Source organism: Homo sapiens, chromosome 6, assembly GCF_000001405.40.
Source record: "Homo sapiens chromosome 6, GRCh38.p14 Primary Assembly".
In the NCBI taxonomy this organism is placed as follows: Eukaryota; Metazoa; Chordata; class Mammalia; order Primates; family Hominidae; genus Homo; species Homo sapiens.
Window position 1 is genome coordinate 76,099,936 of NC_000006.12, and position 24,582 is coordinate 76,124,517.

The 24,582-nt window shown below is 39.5% G+C and overlaps 4 annotated features.

The window, feature by feature from the left end:
* Positions 10,790–11,330: an enhancer, noted in NCBI's record as "NANOG-H3K4me1 hESC enhancer chr6:76820442-76820982 (GRCh37/hg19 assembly coordinates)". NCBI's record gives its function as "activates a minimal SCP1, AML or CMV promoter by ChIP-STARR-seq in naive H9 embryonic stem cells {active_cell/tissue: H9 hESC(naive)}" and the evidence as "EXISTENCE:reporter gene assay evidence [ECO:0000049][PMID:30033119]".
* Positions 11,331–11,869: an enhancer, noted in NCBI's record as "NANOG-H3K4me1 hESC enhancer chr6:76820983-76821521 (GRCh37/hg19 assembly coordinates)". NCBI's record gives its function as "activates a minimal SCP1, AML or CMV promoter by ChIP-STARR-seq in naive H9 embryonic stem cells {active_cell/tissue: H9 hESC(naive)}" and the evidence as "EXISTENCE:reporter gene assay evidence [ECO:0000049][PMID:30033119]".
* Positions 19,817–20,446: an enhancer, noted in NCBI's record as "OCT4-NANOG hESC enhancer chr6:76829469-76830098 (GRCh37/hg19 assembly coordinates)". NCBI's record gives its function as "activates a minimal SCP1, AML or CMV promoter by ChIP-STARR-seq in naive H9 embryonic stem cells {active_cell/tissue: H9 hESC(naive)}" and the evidence as "EXISTENCE:reporter gene assay evidence [ECO:0000049][PMID:30033119]".
* Positions 20,447–21,075: an enhancer, noted in NCBI's record as "OCT4-NANOG hESC enhancer chr6:76830099-76830727 (GRCh37/hg19 assembly coordinates)". NCBI's record gives its function as "activates a minimal SCP1, AML or CMV promoter by ChIP-STARR-seq in naive H9 embryonic stem cells {active_cell/tissue: H9 hESC(naive)}" and the evidence as "EXISTENCE:reporter gene assay evidence [ECO:0000049][PMID:30033119]".

The following is a 24,582-nucleotide window of genomic DNA, read 5'->3' on the forward strand; positions in this document are numbered from 1 at the left end:
GTGGGAGACTTTAACACCCCACTGTCAATATTAGACAGATCAACGAGACAGAATATTAACAAGGATATTCAGGACTTGAACACAGCTCTGGACCAGGAGGACCTAATAGACATCTATAGAACTCTCCACCCCAAATCAACAGAAGATACATTCTTCTCAACACCACATCACACTTATTCTAAAATTGACCACATAATCGGAAGTAAAACACTCCTCAGCAAATGCAAAATAATAGAAATAAGAAGAAACTGTCTCTCAGACCACAGTGCAATCAAATTAGAACTCAAGATTAAGAAATTCACTCAAAACAGCACAACTACATGGAAACTGAACAACCTGCTCTGAATGACTGGGTAAATAACAAAATGAAGGCAGAATAAATAAGTTCTTTGAAACCAATGAGAACAAAGAGACAATATAGCAGAATCTCTGGGACACAGCTAAAGCACTGTTTAGAGGGAAAATCATAGCACTAAATGTCCACAGGAGAAAGTGGGAAATATCTAAAATTGAACCTTAATATCACAATTAAAAAAACTAGAGAAGCAAGAGCAAACAAATTCAAAAACTAGCAGAAGACAAGAAATAACTAAGATCACTGCAGAACTGAAAAGAGAGACACAAAAACTCTTCAGAAAATCAATGAATCTACGAGCTAGTTTTTTTTTTTAAGATTAACAAAATAGAATGCTAGCCAGACTAATCAAGAAGAAAAGAGAGAAGAATCAAATAGACACAATAAAAAATTATAAAGGGGATATTTCCACTGATCCCACAAAAATCAAACTACCATCAGAGAATACTATAAACACCTCTATGCAAGTGAACTAGAAAATCTAGAAGAAATGGATACATTCCTGGACACATACACCCTCCCATGATTAAACCAGGAAGAAGTCAAATCCCTGAATAGACCAATAACAAGTTCTGAAATTGAGGCAGTAATTAATAACCTACCAACCAACCAAAAAAAAAAAAAAAAAAAGCCCAGGAACAGAGGGATTCACAACCAAATTCTACCAGAGGTACAAAGAGGAGCTGGTACCATTCCTTCTGAAACTATTCCAAACAGTAGAAAAAGAAGGACTCCTCCCTAACTCATTTTATGAGGCCAGCATCACCCTGATACCAAAACCTGGCAGAGACACAACAAAAAAAAAAAAGAAAATTTCAGGCCAATATCCCTGATGAACATTGATGCAATAGTCCTCAATAAAATACTGGCAAATCTAATCCAGCAGCGCATCAAAAAACTTATCCATCATGATCAAGTCAGCTTCATCCCTGGGATGCAAGGCTGGTTCAACATATGCAAATCGAAAAATGTAATCCATCACATAAACAGAACCAAAGACAAAAACCACATGATTATCTCAATAGATGCAGAAAAGGCCTTTGACAAAATTCAACAGCCCTTCATGCTAAAAACTCTCAATAAACTAGGTATCGATGGAACGTATCTCAAAATAATAAGAGCTATTTATGACAAACCCACAGCCTATATCATACTGAATGGGGAAAAGCTGGAAGCATTACCTTTGAAAACTGGCACAAGACAAGGATGCCTCCTCTCATCACTCCCATTCAACATAGTGTTGGAAGTTCTGGCCAGGGCAATCAGGCAAGAGAAAGAAATAAAGGGCATTCAAATAGAAAGAGAGGAAGTCAAATCGTCTCTGTTTGCAGATGATGTGATTGTATATTTAGAAAATCCCATGGTCTCAGCCCAAAATCTCCTTTAGCTGATAAGCAACTTCAGCTAAGTCTCAGGATACAAAATCAATGTGCAAATATCACAAGCATTCCTATAACCAATGATAGAGAGCCAAATCATGAGTGAACTCCCACTTACAATTACTACAAAGAGAATAAAATACCTAGGAATCCAACTTATAAGGGATGTGAAGGACCTCTTCAAAGAGAGGTACAAACCATTGCTCAAGGAAGTAAGAGAGGACACAATCAATGGGAAAACATCCCATGCTCATGGGTAGGAAGAATTAATATTGTGAAAATGGCCATCCTGCCCAAAGTAATTTATAGATTCAGTGCTATCCCCAATCAAGCTACCATTGACTTTCTTCACAGAATCAGGAAAAACTACTTTAAATTTCATATGGGAGCAAAAAAGAGCCCGTATAGCCAAGATAATCCTAAGCAAAAAGAACAAAGCTGGTGGCATCACATTACCTGACTTCAAACTATACAAGGCTAGAGTAACCAAAACATCATGGTACTGGTGCCAAAGCAGATATACAGACCAATGGAACAGAATTGAAACCTCAGAAATAACACCACACATCTACAACAATCTGATCTTTGATAAACCTGACAAAAACAAGTAATGGGGAAAGGATTCCCTATTTAATAAACGGTGTTGGGAAAACTATCTAGCCATATGCAGAAAGCTGAAACTGGACCCCTTCCTTACACCTAATACAAAAATCAACTCAAGATGGATTAGAGACTTAAACTAAGACCTAAAGCCATAAAAGCCCTAGAAGAAAACCTAGGCAATACCATTCAGGACATAGGTATGGCCAAAGGCTTCATGACTAAAATGCCAAAAGCAATGGCAACAAAAGCCAAAATTGGCAAATGGGATCTAATTAAACTAAGAGCTTCTGCACAGTAAAAGAAACTATCAGAGTGAACTTGCAACCTACAGAATGGGAGAAAATTCTTGCAATCTATCCATCTGACAAAGGGCTAGTATCCGGAATCTACAAGGAACTCAGACAAATTTACAAGAAAAAAAAAAACAACCTCATCAAAAAGTGGAAAAAGGAAATGAATGGACACTTCTCAAAAAAAGACATTTATGTGGCCAACCAACATATGAAAAAATGCTCATCATCATAGGTCATTAGAGAAATGCAAATCAAAACCACAATGAGATACCACCTTACAGCAGTTACAATGGCAATCATTAAAAAGTCAGGAAACAACAGATGCCAGAGAGGATGTGGAGAAATAGGAATGCTTTTACACTGTTGGTGGGAGTGTAAATTTGTTCAACCATTGTGGAAGACAGTGTGGTGATTCCTTAAGGATCTGGACCAGAAATATCATTTGACCCAGCAATCCCATTACTGGGTATATACCCAAAGGATTATAAATCATTCTATCATAAAGACACATGCACGTGTATGTTTATTGTAGCACTATTTACAATAGCAAATACTTGGAACCAATCCAAATGCCCACCAATGATAGACTGGATAAAGAAAATGTGGCACATATTCACCACACAATACTATGCAGCCATAAAAAAGGATGAGTTCATGTCCTTTGCAGGGACATGGATGAAACTGGAAACCATCATTCTCAGCAAACTAACACAGGAGCAGAAAACCAAACACCGCCTCTTCCCACTCACAAGTGGGATTTGAACAATGAGACCACATGGACACAATGTGGGGAATATCACACTCTGGAGCCTGTCAGGGGGTGGGGGGCTAGGGGAAGGATAGCATTAGGAGAAGTACTTCATATAGATGACCAGTTGATGGGTGCAGCAAAACCACCATGACATGTACATACCTATGTAACAAACCTGCATGTTCTGCACACGTATCTCAGAACTTAAAGTATAATAATAATAATAATAAAGACACACATGCACCTATATGTTAATCATAGCACTATGCACAATAGCAAAGACAAGGAATCAACTTAGACGCCCATCAGTGGTGAGCTTGATGAAGAAATGTGGTATATATACAACATGGAATAGTTTCACTCTAAAAAATGAAATCATGCCCTTTGCAGCCACGTGGATGGAACTTTAGGCCATTATTCAAAGTGACTTAATGCAGGGACAGAAAATCAAATACCACTTCTTCACTTTCAAGTGGAAGCTAAACATTGAGGATACTAGGACACAAGGAAGGGAACAATAGACACTGGGGCACACTTGAGTGTTCAGGTAGCCATTATTGAATTTTCTAGAATAATCATGTCTAAGCATTTACTTATTGAAACACACATTATTTTTCTATAAATTACTTTTCATTTCTTCTTTATATTACAGTTATTACATTAAAGTGTCTTGGTTGGTAGCATTATATATGAATTTCATTTCAAGATGTTTAAGAGGAAGTGAATAAATATTTGTAACAGAGAGTGTGTTGGATTGAGAACTATTGATTTATCCTCACGACAGCCCCTTGATGCAGATAATTATAGTTTTCTCCATGTTCAGATCAGGAAACAAGCGACTAGCTCAGGTCGCATAGCTGGTAAGCTAGGGAGCCAGGGTCTGGATTGAACATTGTGGATCTTAGAGCTACACTCTTAACACTGTTTTTCTTCTTCCTATCAGAGGAGGCCATTAGAAACATCAGGCAAAACAAGGACAGAATTCTAGTCATGTCTTAAGAGTTAGGGAGTGAATAGTTTTAAAAATGCAGATCCATGCAGAATTGCCATGCAGAGTGGCTTGTACCAGGACTACCAAGGGAGACTGAGAGACTTGCTGGCTGTCCCCATGGGTTCCAAGTAAAGGCAAGATGGCCTCCTGATGCTCATTCTGAGTACATAGAAAGAGTAGAGCTGAGAAGACTGTCAAGGCTAGTTTCCCCAGGGTTGCATGGTCTCCTCATTTCCCCCAGGAAACAAAGGATGAATCACTCACTGATAGTTTAGAACACATAGCGGTGTGCCTGCCACACCCCTACTGGAATCTATAATATTACTCAGTAATACATTCAGCATTTAGTTTTTATTAAGCATGTAGCATCATGGCCCTGTGTAAGGTTAAATAAAAGCTTTGACTAAATTCTTTCATAATTCCTTAAGCATGCGTTTGAAAATCACATCAGCAAATAGCCTTGGTTTTTCTTCCAGTCTGAGTTTATCCACAGATATTTCCATATGTTAATATTACATACTGAATTTCTTCTTCATTGGTTGTGAGTGTCTCATAAATATAGATTGCTGTATCTTGAAAATGAAGAGATGTTTTCATGTGGGAATACATACACTTTTAACAACACTATTTCAGAGTGGTCCAAAAATGCTCAACGTGGCCTTTGCCGATGAAGAATAAATAGATAAATTTAAAAATGTCCCTGTCTGGATTTTTAAAATGTGAATCTGAATTGCCCTGCTTAACTTTTCATTTTTCCAGGAGATAAGATCATGATGAGCACAGCTCTAATGAGCTGGAAACTTCTTCCTCAGCTACTGTTTTGACAGGTTGTTTAACTTGGAGAGACTCTTATTGAGGTTAAATAGAAGAGACACAGAATCCAGATAAATCTGTAGGTTAGTATATTAAAATGTACCTGCTTCTCTTGTTTTAAAGTAACTGCTCTGGCAGTTCTTGGCCTATTTGTTGAGAAATCAGTCCAGAATGACTTAGACAGGAGGCAGTGGCATGCACACTTAAACTGGCTGCTCTTGCCCCAAAAACTTCATCAAAAATTTATCATTGGTTTATTACTGTGAACTCAACATGCTATAATTATCCTCTTAATGCATTCAACTTTCAGGTATATTAAAAACCATGAAATATACACAGATGCTAAATACAAAACATTTTTATATATCTGTAGGATTAAAAAAGAGAGAAAAAGATAGAAATGGATTTCAAATTGAGGCAGCATGGTAGTGACAACCTTATTCGAGGTTTTCAATTTTTTAATTTTTAATTTTTTTTTTCTCTCTTTGTCTCTCTCTCTTTTTTTTTATTATACTTTAAGTTTTAGGGTACATGTGCACATTGTGCAGGTTAGTTACATATGTATACATGTGCCATGCTGGTGCGCTGCACCCACTAACTCATCATCTAGCATTAGGTATATCTCCCAATGCTTTCCCTCCCCCCTCCCCCCAACCCACAACAGTCCGCAGAGTGTGATATTCCCCTTCCTGTGTCCATGTGATCACATTGTTCAATTCCCACCTATGAGTGAGAATATGCGGTGTTTGGTTTTTTGTTCTTGTGATAGTTTACTGAGAATGATGATTTCCAATTTCATCCATGTCCCTACAAAGAACATGAACTCATCATTTTTTATGGCTGCATAGTATTCCATGGTGTATATGTGCCACATTTTCTTAATCCAGTCTATCATTGATGGACATTTGGGTTGGTTCCAAGTCTTTGCTATTGTGAATAATGCTGCAATAAACATACGTGTGCATGTGTCTTTACAGCAGCATGATTTATAGTCCTTTGGGTATATACCCAGTAATGGGATTGCTGGGTCAAATGGTATTTCTAGTTCTAGATCCCTGAGGAATCGCCACACTGACTTCCACAATGGTTGAACTAGTTTACAGTCCCACCAACAGTGTAAAAGTGTTCGTATTTCTCCATATCCTCTCCAGCACCTGTTGTTTCCTGACTTTTTAATGATTGCCATTCTAACTGGTGTGAGATGGTATCTCATTGTGGTTTTGATTTGCATTTCTCTGATGGCCAGTGATGATGAGCATTTTTTCATGTGTTTTTCAGCTGCATAAATGTCTTCTTTTGGAAGTGTTTGTTCATATCCTTTGCCCACTTTTTGATGGGGTTGTTTGTTTTTTTCTTGTAAATTTGTTTGAGTTCATTGTAGATGCTGGATATTAGCCCTTTGTCAGATGAGTAGGTTGCGAAAATTTTCTCCCATTTTGTACGTTTCCTGTTCACTCTGATGGTAGTTTTTTTTGCTGTGCAGAAGCTCTTTAGTTTAATTAGATCCCATTTGTCAATTTTGTCTTTTGTTGCCATTGCTTTTGGTGTTTTAGACATGAAGTCCTTGCCCATGCCTATGTCCTGAATGGTAATGCCTAGGTTTTCTTCTAGGGTTTTTATGGTTTTAGGTCTAACGTTTAAGTCTTCAAACCATCTTGAATTGATTTTTGTATAAGGTGTAAGGAAGGGATCCAGTTTCAGCTTTCTCCATATGGCTATCCAGTTTTCCCAGCACCATTTATTAAATAGGGAATCCTTTCCCCATTGCTTGTTTTTTTCAGGTTTGTCAAAGGTCAGATAGTTGTAGATATGCGGCATTATTTCTGAGGGCTCTGTTCTGTTCCATTGATCTATATCTCTGTTTTGGTAACAGTACCATGATGTTTTGGTTACTGTAGCCTTGTAGTATCGTTTGAAGTCAGGTAGTGTGATGCCTCCAGCTTTGTTCTTTTGGCTTAGGATTGACTTGGCGATGCGGGCTCTTTTTTGGTTTCATATGAACTTTAAAGCTGTTTTTTTCCAATTCTGTGAAGAAAGTCATTGGTAGCTTGATGGGGATGGCATTGAATTTGTAAATTACTTTGGGCAGTATGGCCATTTTCACGATATTGATTCTTCCTACCCATGAGCATGGAATGTTCTTCCATTTGTTTGTATCCTCTTTTATTTCCTTGAGCAGTGGTTTGTAGTTCTCCTTGAAGAGGTCCTTCACATCCCTTGTCAGTTGGATTCCTAGGTATTTTATTCTCTTTGAAGCAATTGTGAATGGGAGTTCACTCATGATTTGGCTCTCTGTTTGTCTGTTGTTGGTGTATAAGAATGCTTGTGATTTTTGTACATTGATTTTGTATCCTGAGATTTTGCTGAAGTTGCTTATCAGCTTAAGGAGATTTTGGGCTGAGACAATGGGGTTTTCTAGATATACAATCATGTCATCTGCAAACAGGGACAATTTGACTTCCTCTTTTCCTAATTGAATGCCCATTTCCTTCTCCTGCCTAATTGTCCTGGCCAGAACTTCCAACACTATGTTGAATAGGAGTGGTGAGAGAGGGCATCTCTGTCTTGTGCCAGTTTTCAAAGGGAATGCTTCAGTTTTTGCCCATTCAGTATGATATTGGCTGTGGGTTTGTCATAGATAGCTCTTATTATTTTGAAATACGTCCCATCAATACCTAATTTATTGACAGTTTTTAGCATGAAGAGTTGTTGAATTTTGTCAAAAGCTTTTTCTGCATCTATTGAGATAATCATGTGGTTTTTGTCTTTGGTTCTGTTTATATGCTGGATTACATTTACTGATTTGCATATATTGAACCAGCCTTGCATCCCAGGGATGAAGCCCACTTGATCATGGTGGATAAGCTTTTTGATGTGCTGCTGGATTTGGTTTGCCAGTATTTTATTGAGGATTTTTGCATCAATGTTCATCAAGGATATTGGTCTAAAATTCTCTTTTTTTGTTGTGTCTCTGCCTGGCTTTGGTATCAGAATGATGCTGGCCTCATAAAATGAGTTAGGGAGGATTCCTTCTTTTTCTATTGATTGGAATAGTTTCAGAAGGAATGGTACCAGTTCCTCCTTGTACCTCTGGTAGAATTCGGCTGTGAATCCATCTGGTCCTGGACTCTTTTTGGTTGGTAAGCTATTGATTATTGCCACAATTTCAGCTCCTGTTATTGGTCTATTCAGAGATTCAACTTCTTCCTGGTTTAGTCTTGGGATAGTGTATGTGTCGAGGAATTTATCCATTTCTTCTAGAATTTCTAGTTTATTTGTGTAGAGTTGTTTGTAGTATTCTCTGATGGTAGTTTGTATTTCTGTGGGATCGGTGGTGATATCCCCTTTATCATTTTTTATTGCATCTATTTGATTCTTCTCTCTTTTTTTCTTTATTAGTCTTGCTAGCGGTCTATCAATTTTGTTGATCCTTTCAAAAAACCAGCTCCTGGATTCATTAATTTTTTGAAGGGTTTTTTGTGTCTCTATTTCCTTCAGTTCTGCTCTGATTTTAGTTCTTTCTTGCCTTCTGCTAGCTTTTGAATGTGTTCGCTCTTGCTTTTCTAGTTCTTTTAATTTTGATGTGGAGGTGTCAATTTTGGATCTTTCCTGCTTTCTCTTGTGGGCATTTAGTGCTATAAATTTCCCTCTACACACTGCTTTGAATGTGTCCCAGAGATTCTGGTATGTTGTGTCTTTCTTCTCATTGGTTTCAAAGAACATCTTTATTTCTGCCTTCATTTCGTTATGTACCCAGTAGTCATTCAGGAGGAGGTTGTTCAGTTTCCATGTAGTTGAGCGGTTTTGAGTGAGATTCTTAATCCTGAGTTCTAGTTTCATTGCACTGTGGTCTGAGAGATAGTTTGTTATAATTTCTGTTCTTTTACATTTGCTGAGGAGAGCTTTACTTCCAAGTATGTGGTCAATTTTGGAATAGGTGTGGTGTGGTGCTGAAAAAAATGTATATTCTGTTGATTTGGGGTGGAGAGTTCTGTAGATGTCTATTAGGTCTGCTTGGTGCAGAGCTGAGTTCAATTCCTGGGTATCCTTGTTGACTTTCTGTCTCATTGATCTGTCTAATGTTGACAGTGGGGTGTTAAAGTCTCCCATTATTAATGTGTGGGAGTCTAAGTCTCTTTGTAGGTCACTCAGGACTTGCTTTATGAATCTTGGTGCTCCTGTATTGGGTGCATATATATTTAGGATAGTTAGCTCTTCTTGTTGAATTGATCCCTTTACCATTATGTAATGGCCTTCTTTGTCTCTTTTGATCTTTGTTGGTTTAAAGTCTGTTTTATCAGAGACTAGGATTGCAACCCCTGCCTTTTTTTGTTTTCCATTTGCTTGGTAGATCTTCCTCCATCCTTTTATTTTGAGCCTATGTGTGTCTCTGCACATGAGATGGGTTTCCTGAATACAGCACACTGATGGGTCTTGACTCTTTATCCAATTTGCCAGTCTGTGTCTTTTAATTGGAGCATTTAGTCCATTTACATTTAAGGTTAATATTGTTATGTGTTAATTTGATCCTGTCATTATGATGTTAGCTGGTTATTTTGCTTGTTAGTTGATGCAGTTTCTTCCTAGTCTCGATGGTCTTTACATTTTGGCATGATTTTGCAGCGGCTGGTATCGGTTGTTCCTTTCCATGTTTAGTGCTTCCTTCAGGAGCTCTTGTAAGGCAGGCCTGGTGGTGACAAAATCTCTCAGCATTTGCTTGTCTGTAAAGGATTTTATTTCTCCTTCAGTTATGAAGCTTAGTTTGGCTAGATATGAAATTCTGGGTTGAAAATTCTTTTCTTTAAGATTGTTGAATATTGGCCCCCACTCTCTTCTGGCTTGTAGGGTTTCTGCCGAGAGATCCACTGTTAGTCTGATGGGCTTCCCTTTGAGGGTAACCCGACCTTTCTCTCTGGCTGCCCTTAACATTTTTTCCTTCATTTCAACTTTGGTGAATCTGACAATTATGTGTCTTGGAGTTGCTCTTCTCGAGGAGTATCTTTGTGGCGTTCTCTGTATCTCCTGAATCTGAACGTTGGCCTGCCTTGCTAGATTGGGGAAGTTCTCCTGGATAATATCTTGCAGAGTGTTTTCCAACTTGGTTCCTTTCTCCCCATCACTTTCAGGTACACCAATCAGACGTAGATTTGGTCTTTTCACATAGTCCCATACTTCTTGGAGGCTTTGCTCATTTCTTTTTATTCTTTTTTCTCTAAACTTCCCTTCTCACTTCATTTCATTCATTTCATCTTCCATCGTTGATACCCTTTCTTCCAGTTGATCGCATTGGCTCCTGAGGCTTCTGCATTCTTCACGTAGTTCTCGAGCCTTGGTTTTCAGCTCCATCAGCTCCTTTAAGCACTTATCTGTATTGGTTATTCTGGTTATACATTCTTCTAAATTTTTTTCAAAGTTTTCAACTTCTTTGCCTTTGGTTTGAATGTCCTCCCGTAGCTCAGAGTAATTGGATGGTGTGAAGCCTTCTTCTCTCAGCTCTTCAAAGTCATTCTCCATCCAGCTTTGTTCCGTTGCTGGTGAGGAACTGCATTCCTTTGGAGGCGGAGAGGCGCTCTGCTTTTTAGAGTTTCCAGTTTTTCAGTTCTGTTTTTTCCCCATCTTTGTGGTTTTATCTACTTTTGGTCTTTGATGATGGTGATGTACAGATGGGTTTTTGGTGTGGATGTCCTTTCTGTTTGTTAGTTTTCCTTCTAACAGAGAGGACCCTCAGCTGCAGGTCTGTTGGAATACCCTGCCGTGTGAGATGTCAGTGTGCCTCTGCTGGGGGGTGCCTCCCAGTTAGGCTGCTCAGGGGTCAGAGGTCAGGGACCCACTTGAGGAGGCAGTCTGCCTGTTCTCAGATCTCCAGCTGCATGCTGGGAGAACCACTGCTCTCTTCAAAGCTGTCGACAGGGACATTTAAGTCTGCAGAGGTTACTGCTGTCTTTTTGTTTGTCTGTGCCCTGCCCCCAGAGGTGGAGCCCACAGAGACAGGCAGGCCTCCTTGAGATGTTGTGGGCTCCACCCAGTTCGAGCTTCCCAGCTGCTTTGTTTACCTAATCAAGCCTGGGCAATGGCGGGAGCCCCTCCCCCAGCTTCGATGCCGCCTTGCAGTTTGATCTCAGACTGCTGTGCTAGCAATCAGTGAGACTCCGTGGGTGTAGGACCCTCCGAGCCAGGTGCGGGTTATAATCTCGTGGTGCGCCATTTTTTAAGCCCGTCGGAAAAGCGCAGTATTGGGGTGGGAGTGACCCGATTTTCCAGGTGCCGTCCATCACCCCTTTCTTTGACTCAGAAAGGGAACTCCCTGACCCCTTGTGCTTCCCAAGTGAGGCAATGCCTGGCCCTGCTTCGGCTCGCGCATGGTGCACGCACCCACTGACCTGCGCCCACTGTCTGGCACTCCCTAGTGCGATGAACCCGGTACCTCAGATGGAAATGCAGAAATCACCCATCTTCTGCGTCGCTCACGCTGGGAGCTGTAGACTGGAGCTGTTCCTATTCGGCCATCTTGGCTCCTCCCCATTAATTTTTAATTTTTGTCTTTTGCTTATGAGCAAGGCATTTCTATTCCTTGTTTATGGTGTGTTTAGTCAGATGCTGTGCCCTGGCCTCAATCCAAAGGCTAGCAAAGGTTATTAAATTTTATGCATGAGTGATAAACATTTATCTTACTTTAAAAATGAAAGTACTAGATCCCTCTTAAAGTCTTTTCCCAACTTACAGATGGCCCATAATTCTGATATTTCTTAAGTTAGCTATTTGGAACTTAGATATCAGTTGATAATATGATGGTATTTGTTTTTTATAGGTTTAAGAACACCTATGATATACACCAGGGGTGACCAACTTTTTCTGTGAAGGGCCAGATAGTAAGTATTTTGGGCTTTGAATATCATACAGTGTCCATCTCATATTGCAGTGTGAAAGCAGCCATAGACAGTGCATGAACAAATGAGTATAACTGTATTCCAATATATTTACTTATGCAATTAAAATTTTATATAATTTTCACATGTCACAAAATATTCTTTTAATTTTTCGACTATTTAAAACTGTAGAAACAATTTTAGCTCACTGGCTGTACAAAAACAGGCGGCAAGCCATATTTGACCTCTAAGCAGTAGTTTGCAGACTCTGGTATGTATGTATGTAACTGCATGTATGTTAAAATACGTAAGGAATTTGTGGATTCTGCAGGAAAAAACATTTTATATTTAATTGGAAATGTCAAGAACACATCTGTTACAGAATTATCTAAGCCAAGTTGGCAGTGGACAATGAGTAGATTTTTACTGGTAGATGGAAGACCTATTATTATTTGGATATAGGTGAGGGCTGTAAGTCTCTCTCAATTCCACCTTCATATCCAGTAGATGAGTTATAGGGTAAGCAAGTCTGACACCAGATTATATGTGTTTATAAATATTAAATAGCAAGTGGCACAAACACAGTTATACCACCTGTTCTTGAAGTCTCACTCTTACACACCCCTAATACCTTGCATGAAATGTACACTAGAGGAAGATAACATTCTGCAGCCAGGATTCAGATAAACTAGGAACTGGGTGACGGAATTCTCTGTTAATGGCAAAACCAAGGAAATAAGATGGTCCTAGGCTAAGAATGCCATTCAAAGGGAGTAAGCTGCTGGGTGGCCAGATTTATACAAATGTAATTGCCAAGGTACTCATATATCTTTCTAGCAATCTGTGTCGATTATTGCTAAATTCCCCAAATCACAATAGAACTGATGCTGTGATGAAATTGTGGATGATTCTTTTTACTCTTCTATAGTTTTCCCCCCTATAAAGTATAGCATTAATTAGAATGTCATCGAACTGTGATCCTTCTTAGTTCTTCTTTCTCTACAGCCACATCTTAATAATTTTCTTTTCATTTAAATACTGTGGAATATGTAAAACATAGCCAGAAATAAAATGGAACTCATGGCCAATCTGGTTTCAGCTATATCTCCAACTTGATTTCCCCAACCCCATACAATTTTCAAGAAAATCCTATATGTTTTCATCTATAAATATTGTCATTTGTATTTCTAGGAGATATGGGCTTATTTTAAAAAACCAGAAATCTAATATTACAAAAAATTAACAATTATTTAGTATCACCAAATAAATAGTGTTCTTATTTATAAGAGCCACTCATTCCAACTGAATAATATATCATCTACATCTCTTTTAATCTATAATCTCTCTCCTCATCTCCTCTCTCTTTTTCTTACAATTTGATATGTGAAGATTTTTTAAAAAATATATACTTCAAGTTCTAGGGTACTTGTGCATAACGTGCAGGTTTGTTACCTATGTATACATGCGCCATGTTGGTGTGCTGCACCCATTAACTCTTCATTTACATTAGGTATATCTCCTAATGCTATCTCTCACCCATCCCCTCACCCTATGTCAGGCCCCAGTGTGTGATGTTCTCCATCCTGTGTCCAAGTGTTCTTATTGTTTAATTCCCACCTATGAGTGAGAACATGTGCTGTTTGGTTTTTTTGTCCTTGTGATAGTTTGCTGAGAATGATAGTTACCAGCTTCATTCATGTCCCTAGAAAGGACATGAACACATCCTTTTCTATGGCTGCATAGTATTCCATGGTGTATATGTGCCACATTTTCTTAATCCAGTCTATCATTGATGGACATTTGGGTTGGTTCCAAGTCTTGCTATTGTGAATAGTGCCACAATAAACATACATGTGCATGTGTCTTTATAGCAGCATGATTTATAATCCTTTGGGTATATACCCAATAATGGGATGGCTGGGTCAAATGGTATTTCTAGTTCTAGATCCTTGAGGAATTGCCACACTGTCTTCCACAATGGTTGAACTAGTTACAGTCCCACTAACAGTGTAAAAGTGTTCCTATTTCTCCACATCCTCTCCAGCACCTTTCCGCATTTCCTATTTTTGTCAGGTTTGTCAAAGATCAGATGGTTGCAGATGTGTGGTATTATTTCTGAGGGCTCTGTTCTGTTCCATTGGTCTATATCTCCATTTTGGTACCAGTACCATGCTGTTTTGGTTACTGTAGCATTGTAGTATAGTTTGAACTCAGATACAGTGATGTCTCCAGTTTTGTTCTTTTGGCTTAGGATAGTCTTGGAAATGTGGGCTCTTTTTTAGTTCCGTATGAACTTTAAAGTAGTTTTTTCCAATTCTGTGAAGAAAGTCATTGGTAGCTTGATGGGGATGACATTGAATCTATAAATTACCTTGGGCAGTACGGCCATTTTTACAATATTGATTTTCCTATCCATAAGCATGGAATGTTCTTCCATTTGTTTGTATCCTCTTTTATTTTGTTCAGCAGTGGTTTGTAGCTCTCCTTGAAGAGGTCCTTCACATCCCTTGTAAGTTGGATTCCTAGGTATTTTATTCTCTTTGAAGCAATTGTGAATGGGAATTCACTCATGATTTGGCTCTCTGTTTGTCTGCTATTGGTGTAAAAGAATGCTTGTGATTTTTGCACATTGATTTTGTATCCTGAGACTTTGCTGAAGTTGCTTATCAGCTTAAGGAGATTTTGGGCTGAGACGATGGGGTTTTCTAAATATACAATCATGTCATCTGCAAACAGGGACAATTTGACTTCCTCTTTTCCTAATTGAATACCCTTTATTTCTTTCTCCTGCCTGATTGCCCTGGCCAGAACTTCCAACACTATGTTGAATAGGAGTGGTGAGAGAGGGCATCCCTGTCTTGTGCCAGTTTTCAAAGGGAATGCTTCCTGTTTTTGCCCATTCAGTATGATATTGGCTATGGGTGTGTCATAAATAGCTCTTATTGTTTTGAGATACGTCCCAGCAATACTTATTTTATTGACAGTTTTTTAGCATGAAGGGTTGTTGAATTTTGTCAAAGGCCTTTTCTGCATCTATTGAGATAATCATGTGGTTTTTGTCTTTGGTTCAGTTTATATGCTGGATTACGTTTATTGATTTGTGTATATTGAACCAGCCTTGCATCCCAGGGATGAAGCCCACTTGATCATGGTGGATAAGCTTTTTGATGTGCTGCTGGATTCAGTTTGCCAGTATTTTATTGAGGATTTTTGCATCAATGTTCATCAGGGATATTGGTCTAAAATTCTGTTTTTTTTGTTGTGTCTCTGTCAGGCTTTGGTATCAGGATAATGCTGGCCTCATAAAATGAGTTAGGGAGGATTCCCTCTTTTTCTATTGATTGGAATAGTTTCAGAAGGAATGGTACCAGCTCCTCCTAGTACCTCTGGTAGAATTCGGCTGTGAATTGGTCTGGTCCTGGACTTTTTTTGGTTGGTAGGCTATTACATATTGCCTCAATTTCAGAGCCTGTTATTGGTCTACTCAGGGATTCAACTTCTTGCTGGTTTAGTCTTGGGAGGCTGAATATGTCGAGGAATTTATCCATTTCTTCTAGATTTTCTAGTTTATTTGCGTAGAGGTGTTTATAGTATTCTCTGATGGTAGTTTGTATTTCTGTGGGATCAGTGGTGATATTCCCTTTATCATTTTTTATTGTGTCTATTTGATTCTTCTCTCTTTTCTTCTTTATTAATCTTGCTAGTGGTCTATCAATTTTGTTGATCTTTTCAAAAAACCAGCTCCTGGATTCACTGATTTTTTGAAGGGTTTTTTGTGTCTCTATCTCCTTCAGTTTTGCTCTGATCTTAGTTATTTCTTGCCTTCTGCTAGCTTTTGAATGTGTTTGCTCTTGCTTCTCTAGTTCTTTTAATTTTGATGTGAGGGTGTCAATTTTAGGTCTTTCCTGCTTTCTTTTGTGGGCATTTAGTGCTATAAATTTCCTTCTACACACTGCTTTGAATGTGTCCCAGAGATTCTCGTATGTTGTGTCTTTATTCTCGTTGGTTTCAAAGAACATCTTTATTTCTGCCTTCATTTCATTATGTACCCAGTAGTCATTCAGGAGCAGGTTGTTCTGTTTCCATGTAGTTGAGTGGTTTTGAGTGAGTTTCTTAATCCTGAGTTCTAGTTTGATTGCACTGTGGTCTGAGAGACAGTTTGTTATAATTTCTCTTCTTTTACATTTGCTGAGGAATGCTTTACTTCCAACTATATGGTCAATTTTGGAATAAGTGTGATGTGGTGCTGAGAAGATTTGGGGTGGAGGGTTCTGTAGATGTCTATTAGGTCCACTTGGTGCAGAGCTGAGTTCAATTCCTGGATATCCTTGTTAACTTTCTGTCTCATTGATCTGTCTAATGTTGACAGTGGGGTTTTAAAGTCTCCCATTATTATTGTGTGGGAGTCTAAGTCTCTTTGTAGGTCACTAAGGACTTGCTTTATGAATCTGGGTGCTCCTGTATTGGGTGCATGTATATTTAGGATAGTTAGCTCTTCTTGTTGAATTGATCCCTTTACCATTATGTAATGGCCTTCTTTGTCTCTTTTGATCTTTGTTGGTTTAAAGTCTGTTTTATCCGAGACTAGGATTGCAACCCCTGCCTTTTTTTGTTTTCCATTTGCTTGGTAGATCTTCCTCCATCCCTTTATTTGAGCCTATGTGTGTCTGCACATGAGATGGGTTTCCTGAATATAGCACACTGCTGGGTCTTGACTCTTTATCCAATTTGCCAGTCTGTGTCTTTTAATTGGAGTATTTAGTCCATTTACATTTAAGGTTAATATTGTTATGTGTGAATTTGATCCTGTCATTATGATGTTAGGTGGTTATTTTGCCTGTTAATTGACTCAGTTTCTTCCTAGCATCGATGGTCTTTACAATTTGTCATGTTTTTGCAGTGACTGGTACCGGTTGTTCTTTCCCATGTATAATGCTTCCTTCAAGTGCTCTTGTAGGGCAGGTCTGGTGGTGACAAAACCTCTCAGCATTTGCTTGTCTGTAAAGGATTTTATTTCTCCTTCACTTATGAAGCTTAGTTTGGCTGGATATGAAATTCTGGGTTGAAAATTCTTTTCTTTAAGAATGTTGAATATTGGCCCCCACTCTCTTCTGGCTTGTAGAGTTTCTGCCAAGAGATCAGCTGTTAGTCTGATGGGCTTCCCTTTGTGGGTAACCCGACTTTTCTCTCTGGCTGCCCTTAACATTTTTTCCCTCATTTCAACTTTGGTGAATCTGACAATTATGTGTCTAGGAGTTGCTCTTCTTGAGGAGTATCTTTGTGGCATTCTCTGTATTTCCTGCATTTGAATGTTGGCCTGCCTTGCTAGGCTGGGGAAGTTCTCCTGGATAATATCCTGCAGAATGTTTTCCAACTTGGTTCCATTCTTCCCGTCACTTTCAGGTACACCAATCTGATGTAGATTTGGTCTTTTCACATAATCCCAGATTTCTTGGAGGCTTTGTTCATTTCCTTTTACTCTTTTTTCTCTAAACTTCTCTTCTTGCTTCATTTCATTCATTTGATCTTCAATCACTGATACCCTTTCTTCCAGTTCTTCCACTTGATGAAATTGGCTACTGAAGCTTGTGCATGCATCATGTAGTTCTCGTGCCTTGGTTTTCAGCTTCATCAGGTCATTTAAGGACTTCTCTACATTGGTTATTCTAGTTAGCCATTCATCTCATCTTTTTTCAAGGTTTTTAGCTTCTTTTGGATGGGTTCAAACTTCCTCCTTTAGCTTGTAGAAGTTTGATCGTCTGAAGCCTTCTTCTCTCAACTTGTCGAAGTCATTCTCCATACATCTTTGTTCCGTTGCTGGCGAGGAGCTGCTTTCCTTTGGAGTGGGAGAGGTGCTCTGATTTTTAGAATTTTCAGCTTTTCTGCTCTGTTTTTTCCCTATCTTTGTGGTTTTATGTACCTTTGGTCTTTGATGATGGTGACGTACAGATGGTTTTGGTGTGGATATCCTTTCTGTTTGTTAGTTTTCCTTCTAACAGTCAGGACCCTCAGCTGCAGGTCTGTTGGAGTTTGCTGGAGGTCCACTCCAGACCCTGTTTGCCCGAGTATCAGCAGCAGAGGCTGCAGAACAGCGAATATTGCTGAACAGCAATTGTTGCTGCTGGATCGTTCCCCTGGACGCTTCATCTCACAGGGGTACCCGGGCGTGTGAGCTGTCAGTCTGCCCCTACTGGAGGGTGCCTCCCAGTTAGGCTACTTGGGGGTTAGGGACTCACTTGAGGGGGCAGACTGTCCATTCTCAGATCTCAAACTCTGTGCTGGGAGAACCACTGCTCTCTTCAAAGCTGTCAGACAGGGACATTTAAGTCTGCAGATGTTTCTGCTGCCTTTTGTTCAGCTATGCCCTGCCCCCAGAGGTGGAGTCTACAGAGGCAGGCAGGCCTCCTTGAGCTGCGGTGGGCTCCACCCAGTTCTAGCTTTCTGGCCAGTTTGTTTACCTACTCAAGCCTCAGCAATGGTGGGCGCCCCTCCACCAGCCTTGCTGCTGCCTTGCAGATGGATCTCAGACTGCTGTGCTAGCAATGAGTGATGCTCCATGGGCGTGGGACCCTCTGAGCCAGGCACGGGATATAATCTCCTGGTGTGATGTTTGCTAAGACCACTGGCAAAGTGCAGTATTAGGGTGGGAGTGACCCGATTTTCCAGGTGCTGTCCATCACTGCTTCCTTTGGCTAGGAAAGGGAATTCCCTGACCCCTTCTGCTTCCTGGGTGAGGTGATGTCTTGCCCTGCTTCAGCTCATGCTTGATGGGCTGCATCCACTGTCCCGCACCCACTGTCTGACAAGCCCCAGTGAGATGAACCCGGTACCTCAGTTGGAAATGCAGAAATCACCTGTCTTCTGCGTCGCTTATGCTGGGAGCTGTAGACTGGAGCTGTTCCTATTCGGCCATCTTGGAACTGCCCCCCATGAAGATACTTTTGTATTCAGACATTTTCCCAGAATCTGGGTTTTGCTGATCATACTTGATTTTGAGAATGATCCTTTATTTCTTAATATTTTCATTATAAATGCAATAGATACTTGCTGAAGGATATTTTGACTGTTCAATTTTGAGGACAGTCCTGCCACTAGATCTCTTTCAATTATTGAACTAATACTGTTGGCATCATCCCTTCTGTGTCCCAACACATATCTTCCCTCTCCCCAACCCCACATTCAAGAAACCAGTGGTTCTTAGTGAGATAATATCATCCCCAAAAGCTATTTTGGAAATTTTTTTGATTATTTTAGTTATCAAATGACTGAGAGAGACATGGAGGAGTTAATGGACCCACTGAAGAATTGTCCCCCATATTGTACTGCTTTTGGCTGTTACCCTCAAATTCATATAGGTGTAATATTCTTTATCATTATCTGAGACTGGAACTCAATTCTGTTTTACATATAATCACCAAGAAATTTTTTTACGTTTTTACTATACCCTGAATTTTCTACCAATACAACTAGTGAGTAAGTTGAGGAAAGATGGAACTCTGTTTGGCTTGACATTTTCTATTACAGAAAACCAATTAGCAGCATTGCCACTCATAGTGCTTGAGTTACCAACACAATATGCCTGCATTAGTGTGTTTTTGGCTATTGCCTTTACAGGGCTGATTACTTCGTCATGCTTTTTTATCCAGGCCTCCAAAACTTTAAAGTTTGTAGCCTGCCCAATTATTTATGTTGTGAAATACCTTTTTTTTTGTTTAACAATTTGTAATATATTTCACTTATTATAGTTAAGGCATTATATAAATTATTTTGCAATTCTGTACATAGGTAGGTTTTGTCACCTATGGATTTTATTTAAAGAGGGAAATTATTAATAAAGAGGGTGTTGAGTATGATGGTTTTGAGCCCCACAGGCTTAGGCCACTGGGGAAGGTCAAGACTAAGGGACCAGTGAGGGACAACTGAGAAGTGAAACATGTTAACAGTGGAGTTTGCATAATAATAGCTGACACTTATGTAGTGGTTATGTAATATGCCAGGAACTCTTCTGTGTTTCTAAGAAGCGCCTTAACAAATCCACTTCTTCAATCCTCACAACAGCTGCAGGAGGTCAATGGGAGCTATTACTTTTCCCATCTTATAAATGAGAAAACGAGGGACCCAGAGGTGCATAATTTACCCAAATTCACACTAATAAGTGCCAGGGCTGGAAAAAACTGAGGAAGTGGTGATACGGAGTCTATTCTCTTAACCACTGCCTTTGATTGCTTTTCTTTTGAAGCATAATTCACTGAGCACAAAGGAAAGAAAATCAAGTGTATTGGCAGAAAATACATGGTGATGTCAAATTCAAAGGGAAAATGAATATGCAAATCAGTGCCTTTTAGAGACTAGGTGAGCTGAGTGGGTGGTAGGGTGTGAAGTAAACATTTGAAATGCATACTAGCCTCTGTAGGGACTCAAGATATATTTGAGTGAGTGAATGAAGTGCCTTCCAGAGGTTTAGGCCACAGTCACCTTAATAAGACCTTTGGAATGGAGAGTGATTTGGATGGCTTCTTAGTTATGCAAATAAATGGCAAATAGATCCCCATTGTCCTAGGAGAGGGGTAAGAAGTATTCCCCCAAGACCTCCTCTAAGCAGAGCTCTTTAATGGTTAGAAGTTAGATCACTGTGTATAAGAAGGCCAAAGCCTTCAAGAGGAGAAAGGAGAATCATAGCCCTTGTTTTCCATGATACTGATCTGGAGGACACTAGTGTGGTGGGCCAGGTAGCCTTGACCTGCTGGTGAGAAAGGATACCATAGTCCTCCAAAGGGTCCTGCTGGAAAGCAAGAGGGAATCTGGGCTGATGAGTTCCCACATGAACAGGACTTTTGAAGAATAGAGAATAAAATTGTGGAAGAGTCTCGAGGTTAACAAAGAAAGCAGAACAAACATTTGGGCATCTGTACTACTACACAAAGGACTGAAATGGCTGCTTTCACAAAAGCAGTGTAACACATCTAGCCAGGAGGCCTTAACAAGAAGAATTGGATAATGGGAATTGCCTGATTTGCCCCTTCAAGACCACAGAATCTTAATTACTATTGTTAATTAGGATATACCTGGTTCAAATATTCATTTTGACACTTTACAGCAGGGGCTAGGGTGAAAGAGGGTGCTTTGAATAGACTTTTTTTTTTTTTTGAGACAGAGTCTTACTCTGTCACCCAGGGTGAAGTGTAATGGCATGGTCTCGGCTCACTGGAACCTCTGCCTCCCGGGTTCAAGCGATTCTCCTGCCTTAGCCTCCCAAGTAGCTGGGACTACAGGTACGTGCCACTACACCTGGCTAACTTTTGCATTTTTAGTAGAGACAGGGTTTCACTATGTTGGCCAGGCTGGTCTTGAACTCCTGACCTTGTGATCCGCCCGCCTTTGCCTCCCGAAGTGCTGGGATTACAGGCGTGAGCTACAACGCCCGGCCTGAACAGATATTTTTGTATAAATTGACAGAATTCACATTATATAGCAAACCATATATATCTTACTGAAAAGTTAACTTAATTACGGAAACAGATTTACTCCACTCTCTTGTGCACAAGAATTCAGCAGCACTATTATTTAGAAACAGCTCCAACAATCCTCTTTGTCCTGGTCTTACTGAAGTCCTCATTGGTTCATCCTTTGATCCTCTGCAGTGTCCTTTACAAGTCTGGGTCAGATGCCAGCCTTGTCTGAATGACCATTTCCCTTCGTCTGCGTCTGTCTGATACTGGCCAATGTTTCAAAGTCTAGACTGCAATTAAGTCAGTTATCTGCACATATTAAGTACCCAACAAAGGCTTGTTGAGTTTAAAAAGTATCCTCTTTTGAAACGAACACACATTGAGAAAGGCTTAGAGAAAAGCAGTTGAGCATTCATACCTGTTTGGTGATTCTGAACTAGAGGTCCCTAGGAGTCTGTAAGATGGTAAGTGTGGTCCTTGAACTTTCTGTATTTTAGTATGCCTGATGAAAATCATACCTTTCCCTGTAATGAGGCTGGGAAGCTAACTAAAATGTCCAGTTTCTTTATTTTTGTTTGTATTTATATTATATTAACTCTGTAACAATAGCATTAATCTCTTAGCCTAGGATTGTTTAGAGGCAAGTACCAGAATATATTCAAGTGAGTTAAAGGTAAAGAAGAAATTTAATATTATAATATAGGGGTATCTTGTATAACCTCAAAGTAGAAAGTACAACTAGGTCTTAAAAAGAATTGAAGCCAGTATGAGGGAAATCACCAAATTGCAGCTATCTTGAGAGTTGTCTTTCTGGAGTCCCCCATGTCCTCCTTCTGCTTCTGCCTGCATTAGTTCCATCCTTCTTTCTGCAGACTGGGTACTTGGGCACTGCTAGCACGTGCCTATTATAATATCTGTAAATTATATTAAAACACTTTAGTGAAGATGGTATGTATATATGTATACATATACATATATGTAGATACACACATATATACACACATACATATATAGGTATGTATATGTATACATACATCTGTATATACATAGTTGATCTGTACCTGAAGGATCATTAGTTAAGATTTGAAATATCCAGTCAGGTGCTCCTCTTGGGGAGGTGGTAATTGGCAATATATACTTGCTTCTTAGCATTTGAAATAAGGAGAAATCTACATTCTGAAGACAGTTACCACAAGTTTAAGCCATGTTTATCTCAGATTGGCTTTAGATCGTTTAAAATTAGCATGAAGTGCATTAGAAATGACTTTTCATTAGTGAAATGTGTGACGTTCAGGAATTGGATTGGCTTGAAATACATGTGCAACTCTTCTCTCCTAGAAAAGGTGTAAGATTACATTTTTGGAAGGGCATTTCTTGTCTTAAGACTCAGTTTGGCTCTGTTTATGGATTCTGTCATTCAGTTGTGATAAGAATTTTCTCTGAATTGTGATGCTAAAATATTGTTGCCTCTGCCTTCAGTGAAAGAACCAATAGTTTTAAGTGATCATCTTATTTTAGGCCAGTTTTTTCAATGGGGAGATACCATGGTCACTCCCAAACTGGTCCCGTCTCAGCCTTTAGGTCCACATAAATATATAAGCCCTTAGATTCCAAATGACTGGAGTCCCTTGGTTCTATTCCCAGTTTCTCTGGAAAAAGCATTGATTCTTTCAGCTTGGATAAGGTGTTCTAATTCAATCCACTTTGCCCAGTGAAGTTTCTGAGTTGTGTAGTAGTCAGCAGTTCCAAAGACAGCCTCTCAGCAGGAGGTGTGGCAGTGCACTCTCTCAAAATGGGGAGCAGGCTGGGTTGTGGGTGAAGGGTAGATTTCATAGAAAGGGCTATCAGGAAGGTAAGTATCTTGAGATCTCATGTTCATCAGATTCAAAGTTGTGTGTGTCTTTGATCCAGAAAAAGATATTATTCTTTAAAATTCAGCATTTTTTAGACAGGTTAAATCTCACAAAAAATAGAGTTGATTGGTAAAATAATAAAAGGGTTCTTGATATGACATTACTTTTTTAGTTTATTCAACAAATATGTATGTATGTTTGTGTGTATTTATTCACTTATTCTGAGACAGAGTTTTGCTCTGTTGCTCAAGCTGAAGTGCAGTGGTGCAATTTCAGCTCACTGCAACCTTAGCCTCCCAGGTTCAAGTGATTCTCCTGCCTCAGCCTCCAGAGTAGCTGGGATTACAGGCACATGCCACCATGCCCAGCTAATATTTGTATTTTTAGTAGAGATGGGGTTTCACCATGTTGGCCAGGCTGGTCTTGAACTCCTGACCTCAAGTGATCCACTTGCCTCGCCCTCCCAAAGTGCTGAGATTACAGGTGTGAGCCACTTTGCCCAGCCACAAATATGTATTTAATCCCAACTATATACATGGCACAATGCTGGGTGTCTTTTCTTTTGAATAGTGTTATTAGTGATGTAAATTTTCCAGTGGAATGGCGACTGATCATTGGTAGAAGGAGGCATTTCCATGGGGGGCAGGAAAATGAACTACTTGTTTGTGAGACCAAGATCTCCAGTAGCATAGAAGAAGGGAGAAGGATAAGAAAACAAGAGGGCAGGACTTAGCTGGCAAACTTAGACTATTTCCATATGTATACCCAAGGCCAACTCTGACTGCTTACAAGGCAAACACCAAACAGTCACCAATTAAAGTTTTTTTCCTCCACAGAGAATGATTCTGACATGGAATGTGATTGTGACAAGGCCGTGGAACAGAGCAAGTGTTTGCTGTGCAAAATTTGTTTTGACTAGACCAACAAGGCTGTTCCTATGGGCCATCTGCTGAGACCTAGAGCTTTGTTACTCAGAATCTTTGTTTAACCTGCTTCCATGAAAAAGAGTTTGCTAAGTAAATTAATAGAGTAAACAAGGAAAATGTTATGCTGATTAAGAGTGAAGGCCTTCAGCTGAAACATTTGTACTCATACAATGGCTGTACTAATTGTAAATAATGCTATCAGTTAAAACACCTTCACAGCTTGCCTTCTGCAACAGTGGTTTCACTGCTTTTTCCTAGAGTGTTTTGAAGCCTGATTTTTTCTTCTTTTTTTTAATTTTACTT